The 22898-nt window shown below is 48.9% G+C and overlaps 1 long non-coding RNA gene across 1 annotated transcript, besides 6 other annotated features; it reads right to left on the bottom strand.

Moving 5' to 3' along the window:
• Nucleotides 1-2880: 2880 nt before the first annotated feature.
• LOC100506016 (uncharacterized) lies at nt 2881-8434 on the bottom strand. The gene is made up of 2 exons (NR_134944.1): nt 7357-8434; nt 2881-3531 (listed from the first exon to the last, which is right to left on the bottom strand). It is a non-coding gene; the product is annotated as an uncharacterized LOC100506016 (long non-coding RNA).
• Nucleotides 7111-7816: an enhancer, noted in NCBI's record as "H3K4me1 hESC enhancer chr13:112813701-112814406 (GRCh37/hg19 assembly coordinates)". NCBI's record gives its function as "activates a minimal SCP1, AML or CMV promoter by ChIP-STARR-seq in primed H9 embryonic stem cells {active_cell/tissue: H9 hESC(primed)}" and the evidence as "EXISTENCE:reporter gene assay evidence [ECO:0000049][PMID:30033119]".
• Nucleotides 7817-8521: an enhancer, noted in NCBI's record as "H3K4me1 hESC enhancer chr13:112814407-112815111 (GRCh37/hg19 assembly coordinates)". NCBI's record gives its function as "activates a minimal SCP1, AML or CMV promoter by ChIP-STARR-seq in primed H9 embryonic stem cells {active_cell/tissue: H9 hESC(primed)}" and the evidence as "EXISTENCE:reporter gene assay evidence [ECO:0000049][PMID:30033119]".
• Nucleotides 11006-11702: an enhancer, noted in NCBI's record as "H3K27ac-H3K4me1 hESC enhancer chr13:112817596-112818292 (GRCh37/hg19 assembly coordinates)". NCBI's record gives its function as "activates a minimal SCP1, AML or CMV promoter by ChIP-STARR-seq in naive H9 embryonic stem cells {active_cell/tissue: H9 hESC(naive)}" and the evidence as "EXISTENCE:reporter gene assay evidence [ECO:0000049][PMID:30033119]".
• Nucleotides 11703-12397: an enhancer, noted in NCBI's record as "H3K27ac-H3K4me1 hESC enhancer chr13:112818293-112818987 (GRCh37/hg19 assembly coordinates)". NCBI's record gives its function as "activates a minimal SCP1, AML or CMV promoter by ChIP-STARR-seq in primed H9 embryonic stem cells {active_cell/tissue: H9 hESC(primed)}" and the evidence as "EXISTENCE:reporter gene assay evidence [ECO:0000049][PMID:30033119]".
• Nucleotides 19942-20442: an enhancer, noted in NCBI's record as "H3K4me1 hESC enhancer chr13:112826532-112827032 (GRCh37/hg19 assembly coordinates)". NCBI's record gives its function as "activates a minimal SCP1, AML or CMV promoter by ChIP-STARR-seq in naive H9 embryonic stem cells {active_cell/tissue: H9 hESC(naive)}" and the evidence as "EXISTENCE:reporter gene assay evidence [ECO:0000049][PMID:30033119]".
• Nucleotides 20443-20943: an enhancer, noted in NCBI's record as "H3K4me1 hESC enhancer chr13:112827033-112827533 (GRCh37/hg19 assembly coordinates)". NCBI's record gives its function as "activates a minimal SCP1, AML or CMV promoter by ChIP-STARR-seq in naive and primed H9 embryonic stem cells {active_cell/tissue: H9 hESC(naive and primed)}" and the evidence as "EXISTENCE:reporter gene assay evidence [ECO:0000049][PMID:30033119]".

Below are 22898 nucleotides of genomic sequence, written 5' to 3' on the forward strand. Positions count from 1 at the left end.
TTTTAGGAAATTGTGAAGTTAAGGCTTCTTGACTCCACTTGCTCTGCTCTTTCCCCACACCGTGTTTAGGCACCAAGCGATGGAGCCCTGGGGATGTCCCAGCCAAATGTCCACTGCAGGGCTATCTGTTCGTCCCAAATGTGCGCTCCGGGGCTGAGCACTCACCCCAAATGTGCGCTCCGGGGCTGAGCACTCACCCCAAATGTGCGCTCCGGGGCTGAGCACTCACCCCAAATGTGCGCTCCTGGGCTGAGCACTCACCCCAAATGTGCGCTCCGGGGCTGAGCACTCACCCCAAATGTGCGCTCCGGGGCTGAGCATTCACCCCAAATGTGCGCTCCGGGGCTGAGCATTCACCCCAAATGTCCGCTCTGGTGCAAAAGCCACTCTGTTTTCTCCCACGTCTGTTCAAGACACACATGTAATACTTGTATTCCGAGTGAATCTGCAGGAAGGCTGTCTCTGCGCCTCAGGCCTCTCATCTCTCTGATAAGAGCACGCTAGTGCTGTGCTTCAGGACTTTAGCATGTCTTTTTGAGAGACACAGTTGAACTCATAACACCCAGAGTTTCTAGGTAAATTTCTTTTTGTTTTTGAGAGAGGGTTTCACTTTGTCACCCAGGCTGGGGTGCAGTGGAATGATCACAGCTCACTGCAGCCTCTGCCTCCTGGGCTCAAGTAATCCTCCCACCTCGGCCTCCGAAGGTGCTGGGATGACAGGCATGAGCCACCGCACCCAGCCAGTTTCTGTCTCTTAAGGAGCTGGGTTAGAATCATGAAGGGAAACACCAACCACCTGTCCTTTTCCCATGGGCGTCGTTCGCCTCCAGGCATGCTCCCTGCTTTCCTCCCCGGATGCCCGTCTTGGCTTATTGAGCTAACGGTCCATCAAGACTTCCAAGTGTAAGGCTGAAGAAGTTCCTTCCAAAGCCAATTTCAGGAAGAATCCCTCAAATCTGGAAGCTGCTTCATGGTACATGATCTGTCTGCCCCAGGTGGGGCTAGGAATCCCCCTTCCAGTCTCTCTCTAGGGAGACAATAGATGTTTGGTGATAAACTGGTTGGTCCGCTGAGTTAAGCTCAGAGGTAGATTGATGGGTTACACTAACATTTATTAAAGACAGACTGCCTGCAGGTGCGAGGGGCACGGAATAAGGGGAATAGACAGAGTTTCTGCCTTCTTAAACCCTAAAAGTAAAAGCGAGGAAGAGAGATGGAGCCTCAGCTTGGAGGCTGAAGCCTGCTGGGCGTCACCCAGAGCAGGCTGCTCCAAGGGACTGACCCTTACACCGAGTCCTGAGCAGTGGCAGGCCCTGTCCGGGGGAGAGTGCGGGTGTGTGCTGTGGGCAGGTGGAGGAGCTCCCAGCTATGGGGCCAGCAGCAGTGCAGAGACCTGGGGAGGAGAGAGCCGAAGAAGCCCACTGTGGCAGGAGAAAAGAGGAGGAAGAGTGCTGTTCACACCTGACATTTCTACGAGGCTTTAGAATCAAACAAGCATGGGTTCAAGTCTTGGCTCTGCTGTCTTTGCCTAGTGACCTTGGGCAGGTGAGTTACCTTTCCTGAGCCTCTGTGTGTTTGTAGATAAACAGGGGCAACAGCACCTGCTCTAGAGGGCGGCGTGAGGGTTGGGTGAGTGTGGAGTGTGGAGGCCTTTTCCGAGCTGGCCCGTGTACCTGTCCTGCTATCCTGTTTCCTCCCACACACACCTCACACTCCATCCACCCTGACCTGCTCATGGTTATCCAGGCACAGCAGCCCCTCCAGCTGTGCACTGGCCCTGCTTCCCAGAGGCTGGGCCCTTTCTCCATCTGAGAAGCTTCTGCCCTCCTTCCAAGCAGCTCAAGCATGGCCTCAGGGTTCCAACCCTGCCACCCAGCCCTGCCCCACAGAGTCAACGCCCCTCCTCTGTGTCCTGTGTGCTTCTGCCTGGTGGCCTTTCTGTGCTTCCCCGGAGGGCTGTGCCCCAAGCAAGTCCTGGGCACACTCCCGACACAGGTGCTCCACACACTGCAATTGGGAGCAAGTAAATTAAAGGGGCAGGGGAAACGCACACTGGAAAAGTGTGTAACAAAGGACGAGGCTGTCAATGTAAATTTGGACCAAATCAAGGAAGGTCTTGGCTGCTCTGCTAGGGGCCAGGGCTGTGTTCTGTAAACAGTGGGGGTCAGTGAGGGTTTCAAATGCAACCGTGACACAGCCGGCGGGGTCCCAAGCACAGCTGTCCTTAGGATCATCTGGGAGCTTCTAGAAAGCACTGATAGCCTAGGCCCCACCACGCACCAATTCACCTGGAACCTCTGGATGTGACTTTTTTCTGACATAAAAGAATGTTTGCCAGGGGCTTCTCATCTGCCACCAGATGGGGAACCTCTAAAGTTGGCAGGCGAAGATGAGTGACTCCAGCAAGGGCTGCTGCCAGCTCCCGGCCAGGAGGACAGCAGCATCTGCCCCTGGACAGCAGCAGGGAGGTGTTCCCCACTGGCAGGGCAGGACCAGCGAGCCAGCCACCAGGACAGGAACTGCCATGGGGGGTGGGTGTGCAGGCAGCACTGACTTGAATTACAGGGGTCTCTCCATGAGGGGCCACAGCACGCAGTGCCGTGCCGTGCGAGGTGCCCACCACCAGGCTTGGCCGCTGCTTGTGTCCACAGGTCACAAAGGCCATCTAAGTGTCAATGTTGTCATATACAGAGAACACTGGGTGTGGGGAGAGCCCCCAGGGGAAGCCCAGCAACAGGAAGGAGGGGTGTGGTGCAGGGATCTCCCAAGAGGCCATTCATCAGGTCTGGCAATATTTGGAGATGAAGGATTCGTCTGGGCACCTTGCAATACACATATATGCAGCCAAGAGTCTCTGCCATCGAAGGGATCCCAGAGCTCTTGCAGGATCCAAGTCTTTATTTTTTAATGGGAAAATAGATCAGGGAGAAGCAGCTGATGATAACTGCACTTTCAGTTGCTTGGCAGGCAGTGGAATTCAGGATCTTACACACTTCGATTTTTGGTCTTATACCCCTCCTGTCTCAGCCAGCAGAATGGGGAGGCACTGTCTGTCTGGAGTCAGAAGCTTTGAGAAGATTGAGTCCTGAAGCAACACGGCCAATCCATCTCTTTGATTCTGCGTGACAGCCACAATCCGTTCCCGAGTTTCATGGCCTGAGAACAGTGGGGGCCACTGCCATAGAAAATAATATGCAGTTGGCCAAGTTGCCTCCATCCTTTAAAGGAGGGCTCCAGCGTCCAGCCAGTCATAGAGCCCCCGGCTTTGAAATTCTCGTGCAGGTGTGGTTTCTTTCCAATGCTTTCAGTGCACATGATTTAGTACTTAGGAAAATTCTCGAAGCTGACTTTTTCGAAACCTCAGTTGTGCCATTAGAAAATTCTTCTTTAGCAGAGAAAGCACCCAACACAGATTTGTAACCTCTGGGGATCGCAGAGTTCTGAGAAAGACTGTGAAAGAAAATCGAAAACCAGCTCTGAGAAGCTGCTCGGAGCAGCCAATGGTGATTGAAGGGATGTCAGCAGTTATTCCTGGAAGAAAGGTAGACGGTTCTTCATAAGAATAATTCAGTCCACAAAAATGCATATTTTTTTACATTAAATTCCATAGTACAAAAAAGGAGAATGTAGTTTTACTGTAACTGATATTTTTTGAAATAGGAAGTCATGTTGGCAATCGCAGGTTACATAGGCTTTATGCAGAGAGATCATAGTTTGCTGTAGCCATATTTCAAAAATTTGTTTTGCCAACATTTCCCAAGCATTTTTTGGACGCGCTTTTTAAAATGCAAGTAAATGGTCATTTCTAACCCCTACCAGCAACTACAATTCAGACTTTCAACGTCTGAAGGGATGCTTGAGGTTGTGAGAGAGAAAACCCATTGTAAACTGGGCTAAATGAGAAACAAATACATTGGGTCACCTAAGCTGAAAAGTTCAGTGGTAGGACTAGCTTCTGGCATGAGAAGTGCAGATATCAAACAGTGTCATCAGGAGCTGGGTGATTTTTGCTGATTTCTGCTGAGTTGGCTTAGGTCTCAATATCTGAGTGCTAAGGAGATGGAGTCAATGATTCGATCTTTAACCTCCTCTTGGGATTCAGCTCCAATGGTAAACAAAACTCTCTTTTCCAAAAGTCACCACATCTCATTGCATCTTTTCGGCTCTGGCTGAGTCAAGTGGTCATCATGGAGTGAGCCACTGGAGCAGTGGAGAATGCACTGGGGTCCCTGTCTAGGCCTGGGTTGTGTCATGTCCCTGGAGGCGGGAATGGCACCCTGTGCTGGGACCACATGGACTGGGAATGGGACATTCCACAAAGCTTCCACCACCAATAGTGTAGCTCCAGAGGAGGGCTGCAGATGCTACACAACAAAAGAGTCGTCCACTACACTTTACAAACAGACAAATTGTGGGGTTACTATTAATATTACAGGGGAGGCTTCACTTAACAAAAGGATACTTAGCGGTGAATCCTCAAAGGAGGATTCACTGAAAGCTTTCTTTAAGCAGTTGTCTCTAAATGCAGTTAATCACTTGTTTAGTGATCATTAATGCTTCAGTGGAAAGACTGAAGGAAGAAAATCTTAAAGCTGAAATGTAAGAGTCACTGTCAATGGAGAATCAATCAAGAAAGAAACAAAACAACTTTGAAATGGTAAGTTAGTCAACTGGAAAACAGAATTTGATTTACATAAAACTTCTCACAAACATGACTATGCTGGAAGCCAAGTAGTGTCTATCGAGAAAGAAAACTGCACTTATTTACGAATATGTTTAGGAATGGTCGTAGTTCTCGTAAGCAAGCAAAATCATTCTGTGAGTTTTAGTTACCCCTAAGTAAGTGATTAGAGGGCTTCCAACACTGCGCTTCCCCAGCCCTTAACTTTGACCAAGTCAGCCACTAACCTACAACCTACCACTTTGACAAAGGGCCGCTGAGTTGTTTGGAGCACCTGCTAATATTAGAGACTTTCTGGGATACCCAAGAAGCCCAAGATAGTTCTTGAGATCAGTTCTTGTATTGACTCTTACAATCGAAACCAGACGCAGGTGGGATTTTATTCAGAAAGTTCTTATTACTTATTGGCCATTGAATGCATATGAAGGTTCTCATTTAACATTTACAAATCATATAGGTCAATGTTCATTTGTTTGGGACATTTTAGTTCCACTATAATAGAAATTGTTGTCATGTTAACTTATTTTATTTATTTTTGTGGTTTACATTTAGTCATTATGTTGACTGGCACATTTGGGCTAATGGCTCACTTTAATAAACTGTTACTTTTATTATTACAAAATACCTGCTTTTGTCTCATTTAGAGCCATTAGGCCTAAATTCTTCATTATCTTCATTATTTTTCATTAATATCACTATTTTTTCTTTCCTTTTTTATATCCTAATATCTATTTGCCTATTCCTTTATTTTCAACTTTTCTTACCACTTTGTTAGGAAAATTTTTTTTACACAACATGTAGTGGATTTTTAAAAACACAGTCTGACAATCTCTGCTTTAATAGGGAAGTTTATGTCATTCACATTTAGTGTACTAAGTGATACGCTTGACTTTATTCTCTATCTTACTTTATGTTTTCTAAGATACGTATATACTTTGCTCTGTCTTTTTTTTTTCTTTTCCTCATTTTGGACAGTTTGATCCATTTATTTCCATTTTTCCTCTGTTAATTTGGCATTTCTGTACTTTTTTATTCAGCTACTATTCTCCCATTCCTCATTCTTATCATTCATATACTTTTTTTTTCATTGCTGGATAAAAACCAGAAACCAAAGTGTTCTATTCTATTACTCTTTACTTCAGGCAAAGTAAATAATATAAAACAGTTGGATTATTTTACTCTGTTCCCTCCTTATAACTTCTAGTTATAGCTAAGATAGTTTAGCATTTTTAGTTCAAGAAAATTTTTAGAATTTTCCCCTGAGCACTATAATCAGCCTTTCACTACTAATTTTCCATCTTTATTATTATTAATTTGGAATTAATGCTAAAGGCTGCAAAATTCTTGGCTACCCAGTATTTTTTCTCGTATTTACCATACAATTGTTTTTAAGTTGACAACAGATATGTTGACACTCAAGTTTGTTCTTTCCCTGTCATTCTCTTAACTGTAGATATGCGTATAATTTCATTATTAATAAAGACAAAATAAAACAACACTGTGTTACCTCTAACCAACTACAAAAAATTATAATGATCACTAATTACCTTTTAATAGTCTATGTTCAAACTTAATCTTAATCCCTGTATTACTAATCAGATTCTACTCTGAGCATTTATAAAACCCCTTCCCACTGGTCTAAATGTGCATGCATATATTTGCGCATGTGTTATGGGTCAGTAGAGTATCTGGGAAACGGAAATGGCTGTGGAGATGGACTTTATGTAAATGATCATTGGAGGCTGTTTAGCTCACTCTGTTACAGTTTTGTTCTCAATTTCTCAGTGTTTTTCTTGCCATACTTTCACATCCTGCCTGTATTTTAGTAAGACACTATCATAGGTATTTTAATTCCTACCCCATGAGATAGACCTCTTAAGGGGAAAACTCTGCCACCCCTAGTACAGGCTTTGCCTATACAAAAGCTGCTGAATATATATTTACTTTACCTGAAATGTCAGCTTGGGGCATGGAAAGGATGTGTCAGGGGCGAAGTCTCTCCTAAGGCTGCCAAGCTTCCCTTGGGGGTTTCTGACCTCAATCTCCTATTTCCAGGGAAAGCCTCTTGAAGAGACCGTCTCATCTTGGTGGGCCATTGCTTGGAGAGGGACAGTAAATGCAGAATGAGGTGTGACGGTGCCAACAACTGGGAGGTGGGTGTTCCCTGCACATGGGACTTAGAAGCTAAGCCGGGGAGGTCCTGGTAAACCAGGATAGGACATGTTGGTCAGTAGAGTAGAAGAAGTTCTCCACGCAGCTCAGACCCCACCCGTACCAGCCCTAAGCATTGGAACTCTGCCCTGGGGAGAGCTCCCCATCCTCTCTCCCCTGGGTGGTGAACAATCCATTCTGCCTTTTACTTGAGTCTTTCCAAAGCACTCACATGCATTGTCCATGCATCCTTCTCACAGTGACCCTGTGGATTCAGGAAGGGAGATGGGACCAGCCTCAGGTCACGGATGAGAAAGCTGAAGCACGATCTCATCTTGGTGCATTTGCCCCCAGCCCACACTCCAGATGCTGTTTCCCGAGAGGACAAGTGGGATTTCTGGTTTGCCAAAAATAGTCTCTGAGGGTGTTACTATTTTAAGAATAAATGTCACTGAAAGAGGCCATTGTCCTGATAAAAATAATGGGATAATTGAAATGCAGACACTGATTTTAGGGGAACTTACATAAAATAGGCAGATGAAACAGACAGAACAGTAATTTTCCGCAAACTCATGTATTTCCTTTCATCACCGTTTCTCATTGTTCCTTCAGAACTGAGAGTTGTTTTGCCTGGACTTTGCATCTTTATGCTAGTAACTGCCGGAGAGGGGGCAGGGCTGGGGCGGGGCCGAGTGCAGTCGTGAGGCCTGGAGTGGAACAGGGCAGGCTGGAACGGTGAAGGAGTATCTTGGAATTCCTTTCCCTCTGTTTTTCATATACCCCAGGAATGGGACAATATACTGTGATTTCATTCATGTTGTCATTCATGTGCTCATTCAATAGATGTTTCTGAACAGGGCTGGGAGTTGGAATGCAGGGATGAATGAGCCCACCCTGGCCACAGAGCAGCTCAGAACTTGCTCTGGCCCTCCTGAGATGCAGACCGGGTCTCCTTTCTCCCACAGCCATATCTGGGATCTGAGGCCTGGACTCAGCCATGTTCCTCACTCCATGTTCATTTGTTTGGGATGTTTTAGTTAGTGTCTGCCTAAAAGCACATGCCTGCCGGGCAGCACGCTGCCCAGCCATCTCACCCAAGGCCTGCTCTCACACCAGCCTTAAAGACAGGCTCTGAACAAAGTATCCACATTTCATTCAAAGATTGATGGAGGAAAAGCATGTTAGCCTTAGTCCACACTGTCATCGCCCCGGGGTGGGGAGGACGGTGGGGCCCGTGTGGTTCGCAATGCCCCACATCCTGCACCTCAGGGGTCTGAGGACAGCTGCTCCCCGGCTCACATGCTTCTGCTAACAGGACTGTCAGCTCCTGGCGTGCTCCAACCCCTGTCCTGTGCCTTTGATCACCCAATTAGCCTGCCCTCTGTTTCTGGGGTTTTGTTCTTACCCATACAGAAAGCAAAAAGTTAAAATACTAAATTTTCCCTTGTTCTTATCTTTTCCCTTTGCAGCTGCCGTTTTCTGGTATTCAAGGGTTTGCATGTTAAGACCCCTTCTCTTGGGTTGACACCATCCCATGATCACGTGCCCAACCCCTAGGAAGGCAGAGCACATGCATCCTGGCGGACAGCTGCTGTCGATCCATCTGTCAGACTTGCCATAACTAGCATATGGCTGAAGCTTCCGGAAGCACCGTCACAGGCGACTCATTCAGCGCCTGTTTGTTGAGCAGTTACTGCGTTCTCATCACCACCCACACTAGGCGCGGCGTCAACACTCAGTGACCCCGAGAAGTGGCTTTCTCTTCCTTTCCAGGAACAGTGCCTGAAACTTACATTGTCCTCAGATCCATCAAAAGAGTAAACACTAGATCTCATTTATTCAGTGCGCTTAAAAGAAAAACCCATTCACAGTACATTTCCTTCAGCTCTCTGACTCTCCATGTGGTCACAGGCTGGTTTCTACTCGCCAGCTCACTCTAGGACTGTGTGCTATTAGTTTCTACAAATAATTCCACTCGTTGGGTGTCCAGAGAGTCAGGTCATCAGAGTGAACATTTTAAAACTCAGCCACGGGAGCTTCCTAAGGAATGAGAAAGCTGACGCTTTCGATCGCTCTGAAAAATCAAAGTCCTAACAGCTTCATTTTAGTCTCTGCACAAAACAGTCTCATTATTTTTGAAACATCTGATTTGAAGGCGATTTGTGTAAAAAAAAGTGTAAGCCTAGTCCCCTTGTGACTTTAAGGCTAAAAATCAGACAGTTCTCTGTGGGGACATCACCAGAAAACGGCCTCACCTACATTCAAGACGCCTCCTTCCTCCCAACCTGCTAGAATATTAATTCCTGCAGTGGCAATGGTAAAAGGTCAGTGACTTTTCACCTTTTAAAAATGAGTTTCCATGGTAACAAAACCACGATGGACAATTCACAGTGCAAAACAAAACAAAACAAGCCTGAAGTCCGGGCCCTGCTCAAACTTCAGCCGTGAAGACACTCGGCAGCCTAACCACCGTTCACGCAAACTTAGCGATCTGCCTGGTAAACAAAAGCGGAATTCAGACGCTCAGTAGGACCCATGCGCCTGCAATCCCGCCTTGCTGAAAACATTTGAGATTAAAATTTTAGTTTCATGCCTTAGTCCTTCAGCATATGGCAGGTGACTTTCAAACAAAGTAAACGGGAAAGAATAATTGGCTGACGGGAGATGGGAGAAACAATTGTGTCACCAAGTCTGCAGGCCCCAGCGCTCCCCGCAGCCCAGGTTTGTCGGGAAAATGCACCGTATCTGTAGCTCTTGTGGTTCTGGGGGTGGCTTTTGTTTGTGATATTTAATTATACTGGTAGGTCCAAACGAACTACACAATTTATAGACTCCTGTTTCTCATGGAAGAAGCAGAAAGTGATCTATTTGCAGGAGTTATGTATTTTTTTCAGGCACTTTACGGAGACACCCCAACCCCCCTTGGCTGCTGACTGTAAAATAAGAAAACTATTACCCAGCTGGGGCAACAATAGACTCCCACAGTGCCTTTCTGCTCAGCTCACAGCTGCAGGAAAGTGGAGGCTCAGCAGCAGGCAGCATTCTTCCCGCAGCCCCTTCTGTGGGCAGGGAGCCTCCCACTGATCCAATGTATTTCTATGCAAAGCGCAGAAGAAGTGACATTTTAAAAGTTTTGACCTTTTTTTTTTTTTTTTTTTTTTTTGCATGAACCGAAACATACATTTTTTAAACCTTCTGACAGGGTGTCTGTTAGAAAAGGCAATAGCCATTACTGTAATAATAAAATGTTTCAAAATTTGAAAATTCTATATTGAATATAATGCACAGATAACCTTTGTGTAGAAAATGATAGTAATGGGGGCTTGGAACCACTTTCTTATTGTTCCAGGAAAACAGATTATGACAGATTTCAGGCATATTTAGAAAACAATATCACTGGACGCAATGTTTTCATTTGCTAATTTCAGACTTTCATGATTTTTTTTCCCGAAAATGATTTGGAAGAGTTTTGCATTTGTATCATAAAGTGCTTCCATTTAATATTAGCAGTAAGGTTATTTGTTCAGAAAGCCATTCTTTGCATTAAAAAAGCATTATTTATAGAATTTAGTTTTCATACCAACATATTTAGGTATGGTTTTTTTTTTTTAAGTTTAACTTTTATTTGAATCCAAACTTCTCCAAAAAAAAAAAAAAAGACAACAAAATAACCAAGGGACAAAATGACAGCGACTTTTCTTTTAAAGACCTTCCAATTAGTACGGGACATGAATGGGAGAAGGGCTCAAAGTAAAAAAAATAACAGAAAATTAGAGCAAATGTGACGTTAAATTATTTGCAACAAAAGATAGAAGAATGGGAAGGAGATGAGATATCAAATTCTCAAGTTAGAAGATTATGCGACTTTTGAGTCTCAGACTCAAAAGATGCAGGATGGAATGTGACTGTTAAAACAGCTGAGAGGACTGGAGGACTCGGCCTCAGGCTGCTTCTGAGCGCCTTGAGTTTCCTAACTTGCCCAGCTGATCATCGTCATCAGATTTTAACTTTTATTTTCAAGACTAGAAGATGTGCAGGGCGAAGTGAGCATTTATCCTCTCTAAGGTGCTCAAAAATAAATGTTCCAGCCCCTTCTTGGCTTTTCTGAAGCCAACTTAATAAAAATGATCATCTACTCCAACAAGCTGTAATCATCTGACGGGTTCATGCTGTCCACTGCACAGAGAAAACCAACTCACTGAGGCCAGGGCATTGCAATAAAGAAGGAGTTTAACTGACGGAGGAGACTGAGCTGTCACCCACAGCCATCTCACAAAGACTTGGAGATTAGGGATTTTCGCCGATACTTTCGTGGTCAGGAGATAGGGAATGGGTGCCGCCAATTGGTTGCGGATGAAATCGTAGGAGCGTAAAAACGTGAGTCCACCTCTCAGCGTGGACACGTTCCCCCCGCGCTGAGCCCACCTCTCAGCGTGGACACGTACCCCCCGCGCTGGGCCCACCTCTGAGCGTGGAGACTTTCCCCCCGCGCTAAGCCCACCTCTCAGGGTGGACACGTTCCCCCCGCACTAAGCCCACCTCTGATCGTGGACACGATCCCCCCGTGCTGAGCCCACCTCTCAGCACGGACACGATCCCCCCGCGCAGAGTCCACCTCCGAGCGTGGACACGTTCCCCCCGCGCTGAGTCCACCTCCGAGCGTGGACACGTTCCCCCCGCGCTGAGCCCACCTCTCAGCGTGGACACGTTCCCCCCGCGCTGAGTCCACCTCCGAGCGTGGACACGTTCCCCCCGCGCTGGGCCCACCTCTGAGCATGGAGACGTAACTCCCGCGCTGAGTCCACCTCCAAGCCTGGAGACGTTTCCCCTTCACTGAGTCCACCTGCGAGCCTGGAGACGTTCCCCCCGCGCTGAGTCCACCTCCGAGCCTGGAGACGCTCCCCCCGCGCTGAGTCCACCTCCGAGCCTGGAGACGCTCCCCCCGCGCTGAGTCCACCTCCGAGCGTGGAGACGTTTCCCCTTCACTGAGTCCACCTCCGAGCCTGGAGACGCTCCCCCCGCGCTGAGTCCACCTCCGAGCCTGGAGACGTTCCCCCCTCGCTGAGTCCACCTCCGAGCCTGGAGACGTTCCCCCTTCGCTGAGTCCACTTGCGAGCCTGGAGACGCTCCCCCCGCGCTGAGCCCACCTCCGAGCGTGGAGACGTTCCCCCCTCGCTGAGTCCACCTCCGAGCCTGGAGACGTTCCGCCCGCCCTGAGCCCACCTCCGAGCCTGGAGACGTTCCCCCTTCGCTGAGTCCACCTCCGAGCCTGGAGACGTTCCCCCCGCGCTGAGCCCACCTCCGAGCGTGGAGACGCTCCCCCCGCGCTGAGTCCACCTCCGAGCCTGGAGACGTTTCCCCTTCACTGAGTCCACCTGCGAGCCTGGAGACGTTCCCCCCGCGCTGAGTCCACCTCCGAGCCTGGAGACGTTCCGCCCGCGCTGAGTCCACCTCCGAGCCTGGAGACGTTCCGCCCGCGCTGAGTCCACCTCCGAGCCTGGAGACGTTCCCCCCGCGCTGAGTCCACCTTTGAGAGTGAAGACGTTCCTCCTGCTCTGAGTCCACCTCTGAGTGGAATCCACAGGACAGCCTCATCATGGCTCACCTGTCCAGGTGGAGTTAGCTGGTCAGAAGTGCAAAGTCTGAAAAGACATCTCAAAAGGCCAACCTGGGGCTCTACCATGGTGATGTTGTCTGCGGCATACCTGGGGAAGTTACAAATCCTGTGGCCTCTGGAACAACGACTGATTGCCATTTAACGGTATCTTAGCAGAAACCCACTGCTCTCATAATCCTGACGTTGTGGCCTTTCATTTAGTTTTAAAAGGTGGTTTTGTGAAGGGTTACTATCATCCTTACTTTAAGGTTAAACTATAAACTAACTTCCTCCTGAAGTCAGGTTAGCCTACACCCAGGAGTGACCGAGGACGGCTTGGAGGTTAGGAGCAAGATGGAGCCAACAATGTCAGATTTCTCTTAATGTCGTAATTTTGCAAACGTGATTTCACAGCTAAGTGTTCTCCTTGAACACAGGCCTGGGCACCAGGAGCCTGGGGCTGAGATTTAAATTCTATTTCTCCCGTTACTCCTTGCTTTGGGCTGATCACTTAACTTTTCTTCTCTCTTCCTTGAATATGGAGGCAATAACAATCATTATTGCCGTCAGACGGCGGCCGGTGGATAACTAGTCAGTGTAAATTGCTAAATTGACAGGACTGCTTTCGCTAAATCACATAATTGTTAAAAATACCGCAGACATCAAGAGCCTGATTTAATTTAGAAAATTCAGATTGTGTCTATAGCACCCAAACCATTTGCCAACTCAAACTCATTCAAGTAAAAAGATAAATCAGTCAAGCTGGCACAACGCGTTTATGAAAAATTTGTATTGTATATGAGAAAACCCTTTTTATGATCTTATAAAGGGAAACACTTTGGAACTACAATGACATTTTAAAACTCGTTGATGTCTTGAGAAGTTCAAATCATGGAATTTTAGGGCGTAGACTACTCAGACTCGCCCAGGATCCCGGAGACAGAGCAGAGGTGGAACTGGAAGCTCATCGTGTGTCCTTTTCCTGAGCACAGCCTAGAGCTCCTCTCACCTGCCCCTCCCCTCTGCCACCTCTCCCTCCTCCCCCTCCTCCGCCTCCTCCCCCTCTTCCTTCTCCTCCTCCTCCTCCTTCTTGTTTTGCTCAAACTTCAATCACAGCAGCTGATGTGAAGCCCAGTGGGACTGGCCATCTCCTTCCTCACCCCGCACTTTCTGTGCCCCTGCCCCGTGCTCACAGCAGCAGCCATTTGCACACCTCTCGCCTTCAGAGTGTGCGTTGGCAAAGGAACACCCACTGGAAGGACCTCACTGCAGATCAGAGCAAAGGACACTGCCCAGGTGGTGGTGAGGGGCCCCGAGGATGCACCTGCGGCCCAGCAGCATGACTTGGGTCACCACCCAGGGCGCAGGCAGGCCCCGCAGCCAGTGAAATCTTAGGGGCCTCCTCCTGGAAGCCTGCTCCTCACTATTTCTGACTGTCACTCTATTAAGGCAAATTTCAAACATATGATTTCCTGAACTGCAGGGCCTCTCCTGTCCCCATGAGGATGAAGGAGGGCACACGTGATGTTTAGCCTCATCGGTCTCTCCATCATGTCACAAAGTCCTCCTGGTATGCCAAGCTCCGTGCCTGGGACTGTCACCACCCTGAGGGTCTGCCCCTTGGGTTTGGGGTGCTGAGGGTCTGACCTTAGCCCCATCATGGAGGCGGTGGGAGGGTGCAGGTTATCCACAGCCAACTACAGAAAGCAGCACCGAGAAGATACGAATACACACAATACAGGCAGAACTGCATTTTAAATCCAAACCAAGATGCAAACTCCCTGCATGCAGAATGCTACCTGGAACAATTTCTCTGGGCAACCTCATATGGGTTGACCAGTTAACAGGTCAAGGCAGTTTCAGCTGACGGCCTCTTAAGGCGTCTGCAGGGCTTTATATGAAAACCCTCCACTGGGGGAAAGCCCTTGATGGCTGCACTGTATGATCCACATATAATGAAACTTACACTATGCCAAGACGCGGCCTGCCATTTTGAGATTTAAGAGTAGACAAAAGTGAGTGGCTGTAACTCACTAAGGAAAATGAGCTGCTGAGTATCCGTGGCAGTGTGGGCCGCATTTTCCAGTCAGGAAAGAGCATCTTTAGAAAGCTGGGCAGGAGATTTGGGGGGCACAGAAAGTCCTTAGTCCCTGGCACACCGAAAGGAGCATTTTCAAAAGCATTTTCTGGTCTCTGAGTGTGGGGCTTCACCACCCTGGGACTTCCAGTGCTCTGAACTTTGAGCCAGGTCTTCCAACATCACAACACAGCAAGCTAAACCCAACAAGACAGGAGGGCTGTGAGCCCTTTCTCCTCTCACTGCTGGAAAAACCTCCCCCAAATTTCAGAAGAATTATCCAGGGGGTGCAATGGGGGAGAAGAAATGGTGATAACTGTATTCTGACAAGAAACCCAGATCGTGTTAAAATACCAAAGGTTTTTTTGTTTCCTCTGTGTATGTTTTACCTAGCTCCATTTTTATCATCTGTAAAATGGGGATAATAACAGTGTTTTCCTCATAGATGGAAAATATCTCAGGTAATGCCTATATAGCACTTAGCACCTCACACAGTATAATGAGTGACAGTTTTTATTATGAAAAATGTCCACACAAGAAAAAAATAGATTAAAATAGCTCAAGAGAATAGAAAGGCTTCCTATGGAGGAAATGAAAACAAACACGTATTTTTGCCACGGAGTGGCTTTTGAGAGGCAGAGGGGAATGTTCGTTTGCCTGCTTTCTCCATCCAGCCCAAGCATTCTATTTATAGGACATGCTTAGGTGCGACCCTTTTCTGAAATCTTTCCTAGGAAAAAGCTGCACAGCAAATTTCAGGACAAATGCACAGAGTGGTATCCAAAGCTGAGGGTCCTTTACGCACAAAATAAAACTTGCTCACAGCTGCGTGTCTTTGTCCCTGCTTTGCCCAGAACTTCTTCCCGGGAGCTAAGTAGCACATCTGCAGGACAGCAAAAGCCAGAAGATGCACATTGATAGAAGAGGACGGCAACCACACCACACACCCCAAAGCAGGAAGCTGGAACATAAGCCTCAGCCAACAACTCAGCTTGTGCACTGACCATTATTCAAATATAATGTGAAAAGCTGCAAATGTATCAATTGCCCTTTAATTTGATTTCATATGTCACTAATTTATTTAGCTGAAAGAGGTCTTAGAGAATGATGAGTATAGACACAAAGCAGGACTATAGAATCTGCCGAAAGAGCAGACATCAGTGTGGAGTTGAGGTGTTTCAGGATCATCTCTGTCCTTCTCTCTCTTTTTGTCTCTCAGCTTCGGTCTCTGTTTCTTTCTCTTTTAGGCTTTCTCAAAATTAAGCCGTTTCTCCAAGCATAACTCAGATTTTATTCGTAGAGATGGATTTTCTTTCTAAAGTCTCTGCTTCAGTGTAAGCACTGTCAGAGAAAAACCAGTGGCTGCAGCCAATGTGTACCTCTCGTGGGTCTGGAGTGGATAGAGGCCACATGCAGAACATGATAGAGGCCACACACAGAACATGATAGAGGCCACACACAGAACATGATAGAGGCCACACGCAGAACATGATAGAGGCCACACGCAGAACGTGACAGAGGCCACACGCAGCACGTGACAGAGGCCACACACAGAACATGACAGAGGCCACACACAGAACATGACAGAGGCCACATGAAGCACGTGATAGAGGCCACATGCAGGACATGCTAGAGGGGGGCCTCTCACTGTCAGGCCAGTGAGGGTAGTGCTGCTGATATCCCAATGTTATAACTGAGGAAGCGGAGGCTTGGAGAGATTTGATGCCTTGAGCAAGGCCATCTCGTAGGCAAATGGAGGCTCTGGGAGGAGGACTCAGGTCCTCACTGAGGAGCCGTAGCTGTCAGGTGTCTCTTAATAGTTTCTTCCAGTCACTTTGGGGTCCTGGCCTTTGATCGTCCAAACCAGCCTAAGCCTGCCCAGATGTGCAACTGTATTCATTTCAGCAAAACGTTAGAACCATACATGAAATAAGGTATTTAAAAAAAAAATATCCACCTAAGGATAAAGATCCTCTCAGAAACCCCATGGACCTAGAAAACACACAAATGCATCTTACTCGATAACTAACATGTGGAAAGTTCATTTAGAGTTCACTGAGAGAGAACAAATCTCTCTTAGCTGCCAGGTGAAGCGGGAGCTGTTTGTATAATTATTTGAAATGAGTCCTCTAAGAGGATGCACTGACTGCTGAAGAGGCGTTCCCCATAAGCCTGTGTCACACGGCTTTCACTATGACTCACAGACGCCATTTGCTTCCTTTCCGCTCTCCCATGTGAACAGGTGTTAAAATGTCCACACCAAAACCTATCCGAAAACCTCTCAGTAGTGCTGTACGTGGCCTCTATCACACTCTGCGTGTGGCCTCTATCACATTCTGCGTGTGGCCTCTATCACATTCTGCGTGTGGCCTCTATCACGTTCTGCATGTGGCCTCTATCACGTGCTGCGTGCGGCCTCTATCACGTTCTGCGTGTGGCCTCGATCACACTCTGCATGTGGCCTCTATCACATGCTGCGTGTGGCCTCTATCACGTTCTGCATGTGGCCTCTATCACACTCTGCATGTGGCCTCTATCACGTCCTGCGTGCGGCCTCTATCACGTGCTGCGTGCGGCCTCTATCACGTTCTGCGTGTGGCCTCTATCACGTGCTGCGTGCGGCCTCTATCACGTGCTGTGTGTGGCCTCTATCACACTCTGCGTGTGGCCTCTATCACATTCTGCGTGTGGCCTCTATCACGTGCTGTGTGTGGCCTCTATCACACTCTGCATGTGGCCTCTATCATGTTCTGCGTGTGGCCTCTATCACGTGCTGTGTGTGGCCTCTATCATGTGCTGCGTGCGGCCTCCATCATGTTCTGTGTGTGGCCTCCATTAATCATGTGAACAGCAAAAGGCCGGAGTGCATCACTCATTGATGCTGTTTCTTATTCCCTCCTCATGATGTGTTGTGCTAATCATTAACTAATTAATTAACTCACCAGTATCTGTTGCGTGCCTGGCACTTAAGAGACTTTGCTAGAATCTCTGAGTGTAGCAGTGACTGGAATGAAGTCCCTCCCGGTTTCTGTTTATTGCTTCCACACATTTATCCATAAACCTGGACGGCTGGATTGAAAGCCCCCTCACGTCTCCCTCCCTCTCAGGGCTGGCCTCCACTCAGCACTTCGCACTCGCAGGGAAAGTCGCACCGGCAGTGTGAGTTGAGGCAAATACCCCAAATGCACAGGGCAGCCATTAAAAGCTGAGGTGCTAATCTGGATAATATTTGCCAGTTTACTTATTTAGTTGACTAAATCTAAATTTCCTTGGCTGACTGATGTCACAAGGGACCTGGCAGGCCCAGGGCCAGGCAGCACCCCACCTGCACCCTCTGGGAGGGTGGCCCCGACAGTCCCTGCCAGGACGCAGGGTTCGAGGACATCCTCACCTGACCTGAGCCGGGTTAGAAAGAGTCTTGCTCATCACATCCCTTAGCTCAGGATTTTCCCCAAGAGATGCCCAGACAACCGGGACAGGCAGAGGAAAGTCACGAAAAGGTGGTCGCTGGTGACTCATCAGCCGGGATTGAAAAACAGGCTCTGATGAAGGAGACACACAGAGGCCGAGAAGATGGAGGTGGGGACACCTTGCAGGGACCCGAAGGCCTGGACCACTGAGAAGCCTGCACCCTTGGGATTCCACGTGGAGCCCAATTCTGGACCAGGGGCATCCAAGGCCCTCATGGGCGGGTACCCCTCACCCCCACAGACGGGGAAGCCAGGCTCCAAGGGGCACCAGGCTTGCCCACGGGTGAGTGCAGAGCTGGAGCCAAGGTCAGGTCCCTGCCAGAGCCTCAGCATCCAACCCCCAGCCACACCCAGGACCCCTACATTCGGCCTCAGCTATGCTCTGGGACCCCGTAGACCCCTTTTCCAGCCATGCCTTGAGACCCCCACACCCCTCCCTCCCCCAGCCATAACCACCTGGGGAGTCCCCGCAGTCCTGGGCTTGGGGTCCCAGCAGCAACCCCATCCCCCAACCTGGGACTGAGACACCTTGTAAGAAGGGGAAGCCTGGGTGAGAGGAGGCCTTGGGAGGGAGGAAGACTTTCTTTCCTTGTCTGCTGTTCCTATGTTGATGGCTGCCTTGTCCAACTCCTTTGTCTTTTCCCAGGCACGTCTCTGCCTGGGCGCATGGGTGGGTGGCCCAGCATGTCCCTGGCGGCACCTTGCCCAGGCCCCCTCCTCATCCATGCGCACTGGCCAGGAGCCCACCACACTTCTCCCTGGCAGGTGCACAAGAAGGAAGGAAGTGGCCTGCGTGGAACGGACACTGGTGACCTTTAGAAATAGAAGAGGGACCCTCAGAAGCTTGGCTGACCCCACAGTGAGGACAACGCCAGGGCCTAGAGCTCCTTCTGCAGCGGTGCAGGGGTCTTTCTGGCCCAGCACATAGGTGCAGGAGGCCACCCGCCTCCCAAGCCAGGTGCTGGGTGTTAAGTGAGGAGGAATCAGGACAGGCCAGGCCAGGCCAGGGCAGGCGGGGAAAGGCCAGAGCCAGGGTGGGAAAAAGGAGGGGAAAATGCAACTCCTTGCTGCTCACAGCTTCCCCCCACAGCAGCGGGCACCAGCTTTGTGCTCACCCATGGTCCGTGGCAGCTCAGCCAGTGCAGCAGGCACTCCGAGCCTCTGGGGCCTGTCATGTACTGGCCTCTACCTGTGGCGAGGCTCCTCCAATGGGCTCCCTGCCTTCCGGAAAGTCCTAATCCAGAGCTCAGGTGAATCCTGACTTTGCAGGGAGGTCAAAGCTGTCTTTCTGAACAGGTTGCATCTGAGCTGAGCTGGAAGGGTGCTGGGAATTGGACGGGCAGAGAAATCAGGAAGAGCAATTCTGCCAGGTGGGAGGACCAGCCTGAGCCTCTGCAAGGCTGTGCACCCTGGGATGGGGTGAGCTGGTGGGGGAAGCCACAGAGGATAGTGGATGCAGGCTGGAGGGTAAGGCCTGATGGCCCAGAGGCTGCAGCTTTACCCGGGAAAGGGTTCTCTCACGCAAGGCAGGAAGAGGGGCGGCCAGGCCCAGGCTCTGGACAGCAGCGCTGACTGGGTGCGAGGAGCCATATCAGAGGCAAGGGGCAGGAGCACGGGACCCTCGGAGGCTTCTGCGTGGGAGAAGAGCAGAAATGGCACAATGAGACGGGTGGGGGTGAGCTCAGCTTGCGGGAGCGAGGGAGGACCGCCAGGGCAGAGAGGGCTCAGGGAAGTGCCTGGGGTCTGGACAGCAATGCAGCTTTGTAGGAAATGAGTGAATGGCGTGGAAGGGAAACGTGGTGGGTTGTGGGCTCAGCAGATGCTATTTGTATTGGTCTCCAGATGCTGCCCTGACAAATGACCACAGACAGGTGGCTTAGACAGCAGAGCACATTCACTCCCAGCTCTGGAGCCAGGTGGGCAGGACTGCTTCCTTCCGAGGCTGCAAGGGAGCCTCTGTTCCAGCCTCTCCCCAGCTTCCGGTGGCAGCCGGCCATCCTCGGTGCCCCTCAGTGTGTGGAAGCACCACCCGACCTCTGCCTGCATCTTCACGTGCTCCTCTCCCTGTGTGTGTCTGTGTCCAAATCACCCCTTTTTCTAAGGACATGGCCATAAGCATTCAGGCCCACCCCACTCCAGGGTGACCACCTCCGAGCTGAACTAATGACACCCAGTGACCTTATTTCCAAATAAGGACACACATTCTGAGGTATTGGGTGTCAGATCTTCACCATGTCTTTTTGGGGAACACAATTGAGCCTGTAACACTGCTTTTTAGGATTTAAAGCTTTACATTATTTAATAGCAAGATGAAGTTTCTATTCTTCCATCAGGACTTCAGAGTGAACATGGTTTGCAAATCCTGCTCCTGATGTCCATGAGAGAGCGCCGCCGCCACGTCTGCATCCCCTTGCGGGGGCCAGGTAGCACTCTGTGAAAAGCACGCTCTTCCTCAGCCAGCCGAGCCAGCCAGTGCGCTGGACTTTGCTGGGCATCCTGGGCTCAAGTTGCAGGGTAGGGTTCCGGGCTGATGGACAATGCAGGGACCACACAGGCAGATGGCCCTCGACCCCGTCGCCCCACACTGCCAGAGAAGCTGTTCACCCAGCAACATAGCTGAAGGGTGAAAGGAATGGAACAGAAGATGGCATGGAGCCCGAAGAGTGCCCCGCAGATCTGTAATTTGGGCTAATGAGAAGCTCCAGAGCAAGCTGACTCGGTTACATAAGAATCCGGAGCTGCCTCCTGTGTTGCTGCCTGGCTTTATTTTTGTTGCCTCTCCGTGGGGTTCATTTAAGGTCTGTGGTGGCTGAAGTATTTTAGCCTGAGTGATGGTGGCAAACAGTGTGTCCTTGTGTGGATGTACAAGGGCTGACCCAGGGGAGGGTGTTGGGGAAAGCAAGCCACCAAGAACCCCACCACCCATGACTCAGAGGCAGAGCTGTGGCCAGCGGCTGCATGGCCCCGGTCTTCCTGCCATCCTGAGGACTGTCTTCAGCATCAGGATGAAGTGAAGGGCAGCTACCGCACGTCCTTTTGGGAGCACATCACCGCCTGAAACCATGGTGAAGCGAGATGCAAAGCAAGCAATTAACCAGGAAAAAATACCCTAGGAGCTACCGGGAAAATCGTTAAAACACAGAAAAACAAGCAGGATAATTACACAAAATGCCTCCACCAACTCGGAGGAAAAGAGGGGCTTAGAATTGATGGTAACAGCTGGATTTCACCCTCCTATCACAGCAATCGGATGTTTCAAGGAATACATTTTCTTTAAAATGGAAATATATTTTAGTCTTTTGGGGGAGGTACTTCTAATATTGTTGCATTTTATAAGAGTGTTGAAAGTTTTCTTACTGAAGACAAGGCACACTGAGCCTTGTGCTGCAGATTTAGGACAAAATAGGAACACTTCTAATCATCTGCTCCATGACTTCTGAAATTGGGAGGATTCTTCCCAGCATGGTTCTTACAAATATGGCTGCCAGAGCAAGGGCACAAAATCTGCTGAAGAACCATTTTCCTCTGTCCCACCCCCGCCCCGCCCCAAGTAAGTCCATAACCCTGAGTCTGCATAGAATCTACAGAAGGTGACTGTTGGCAATACGGACTCTGAAAACACAGGAATTGCCCTCACAGGGATATTTAGACTAGCAGGGGTGTCAACATGTGTCCCCTTAAACACATTTAAAAACTGAAGACAGAAGGAAATGATGATATTGAGAGTGAAGAAACGATGGGAAGGAATGAGAATACCATGGCAAGGAGGCTAGGAAAATGTGGATGGCTCTCTACTCTCACTAAATCCCGCTCTGTTATTTGCTACATTGAATGGCATAAATGGTCTCAACAAAGTAGATACAAATCCACATGTACATCTTAATATTGACCAACAATTTCAAAACCTGTTTGTGTCTTGGGAAAAGTATGGCCAAAAATATTAACTAGATCTCTAGGACAGAAGAACTGAGATGAACATTTTCCGGAAATCTTCACAATGTGGACATCTAAATGCACCCAGTTAGCTATATGGCCTGACTCTGGACTAGTATGGGCCAGGATTTTCAGAGCTAGTATTCCATGAATTACTATGAATCATCCTCATTTGACAGCACTAGTAAGGCATCCCTGTGCCTCTATGAACAAGTCACTGAGGAGGATCCGAGAATCTAAGAACGGACTGTTCTCAAGGAACAGAGAGTGTGCAAGGCAAGGCAGCTACACTAGTAGATGCAAAATACAACTGAACAAAATGTGACTGTGTAATCCAAGTTATATATATGAGGGTGGGGGAATAAAAAATGAGGAACTGAGGCAGATTAGCCAAGCCATATGGAGACTGATTTTTAAATTTCAGACATATGATCCAACAAAGGAAGTGTGTTGCGGTTTTTGTGGTTGTTAACCTCTCTCAGAGCTAAATGCTTTGTGGGAGGCGTAGCTCTGATGCCGAAGTACTGGAATCCCTGGGACATTTCTGTGGTTTCTGCTTGTGCTCCAGCTCCATGGCAGAGAAGTTGGAGCTCAAGTGCTCATGTGTCAATGAGTTGGAACAGATCAGAGCAGAACCTCTGACCAGTCCTGATTCTCACAGAACGATGTACCTCCTGCCCCTGCTTCACTGACCTTCCATAGTCATGGATGGAGAATGTTCCTCAAGCCCTCAGCTGCCCAGGCCCCACCAAGGACTGGGTGTGTGTGACGATGTCATAGAGGAGCCGCTGTCCTCAGATGAAGCCACACATTAGAGGCCTCAGTGTATGGACCACATTATTTTGAGTCATCACAGACTTGGTTTTCTCAGTTTTACCTTTGCATTTTCCACTGGCCCGTGATATGGGTTAAATTGTCTTCCCTCAAAAATACATGTTGAAGTCCTAACCCCCAGTACCTATGAATGTGACCTCTTTGGAAATGGAGCCA

This window comes from Homo sapiens, chromosome 13 (genome assembly GCF_000001405.40).
Source record: "Homo sapiens chromosome 13, GRCh38.p14 Primary Assembly".
In the NCBI taxonomy this organism is placed as follows: Eukaryota; Metazoa; Chordata; class Mammalia; order Primates; family Hominidae; genus Homo; species Homo sapiens.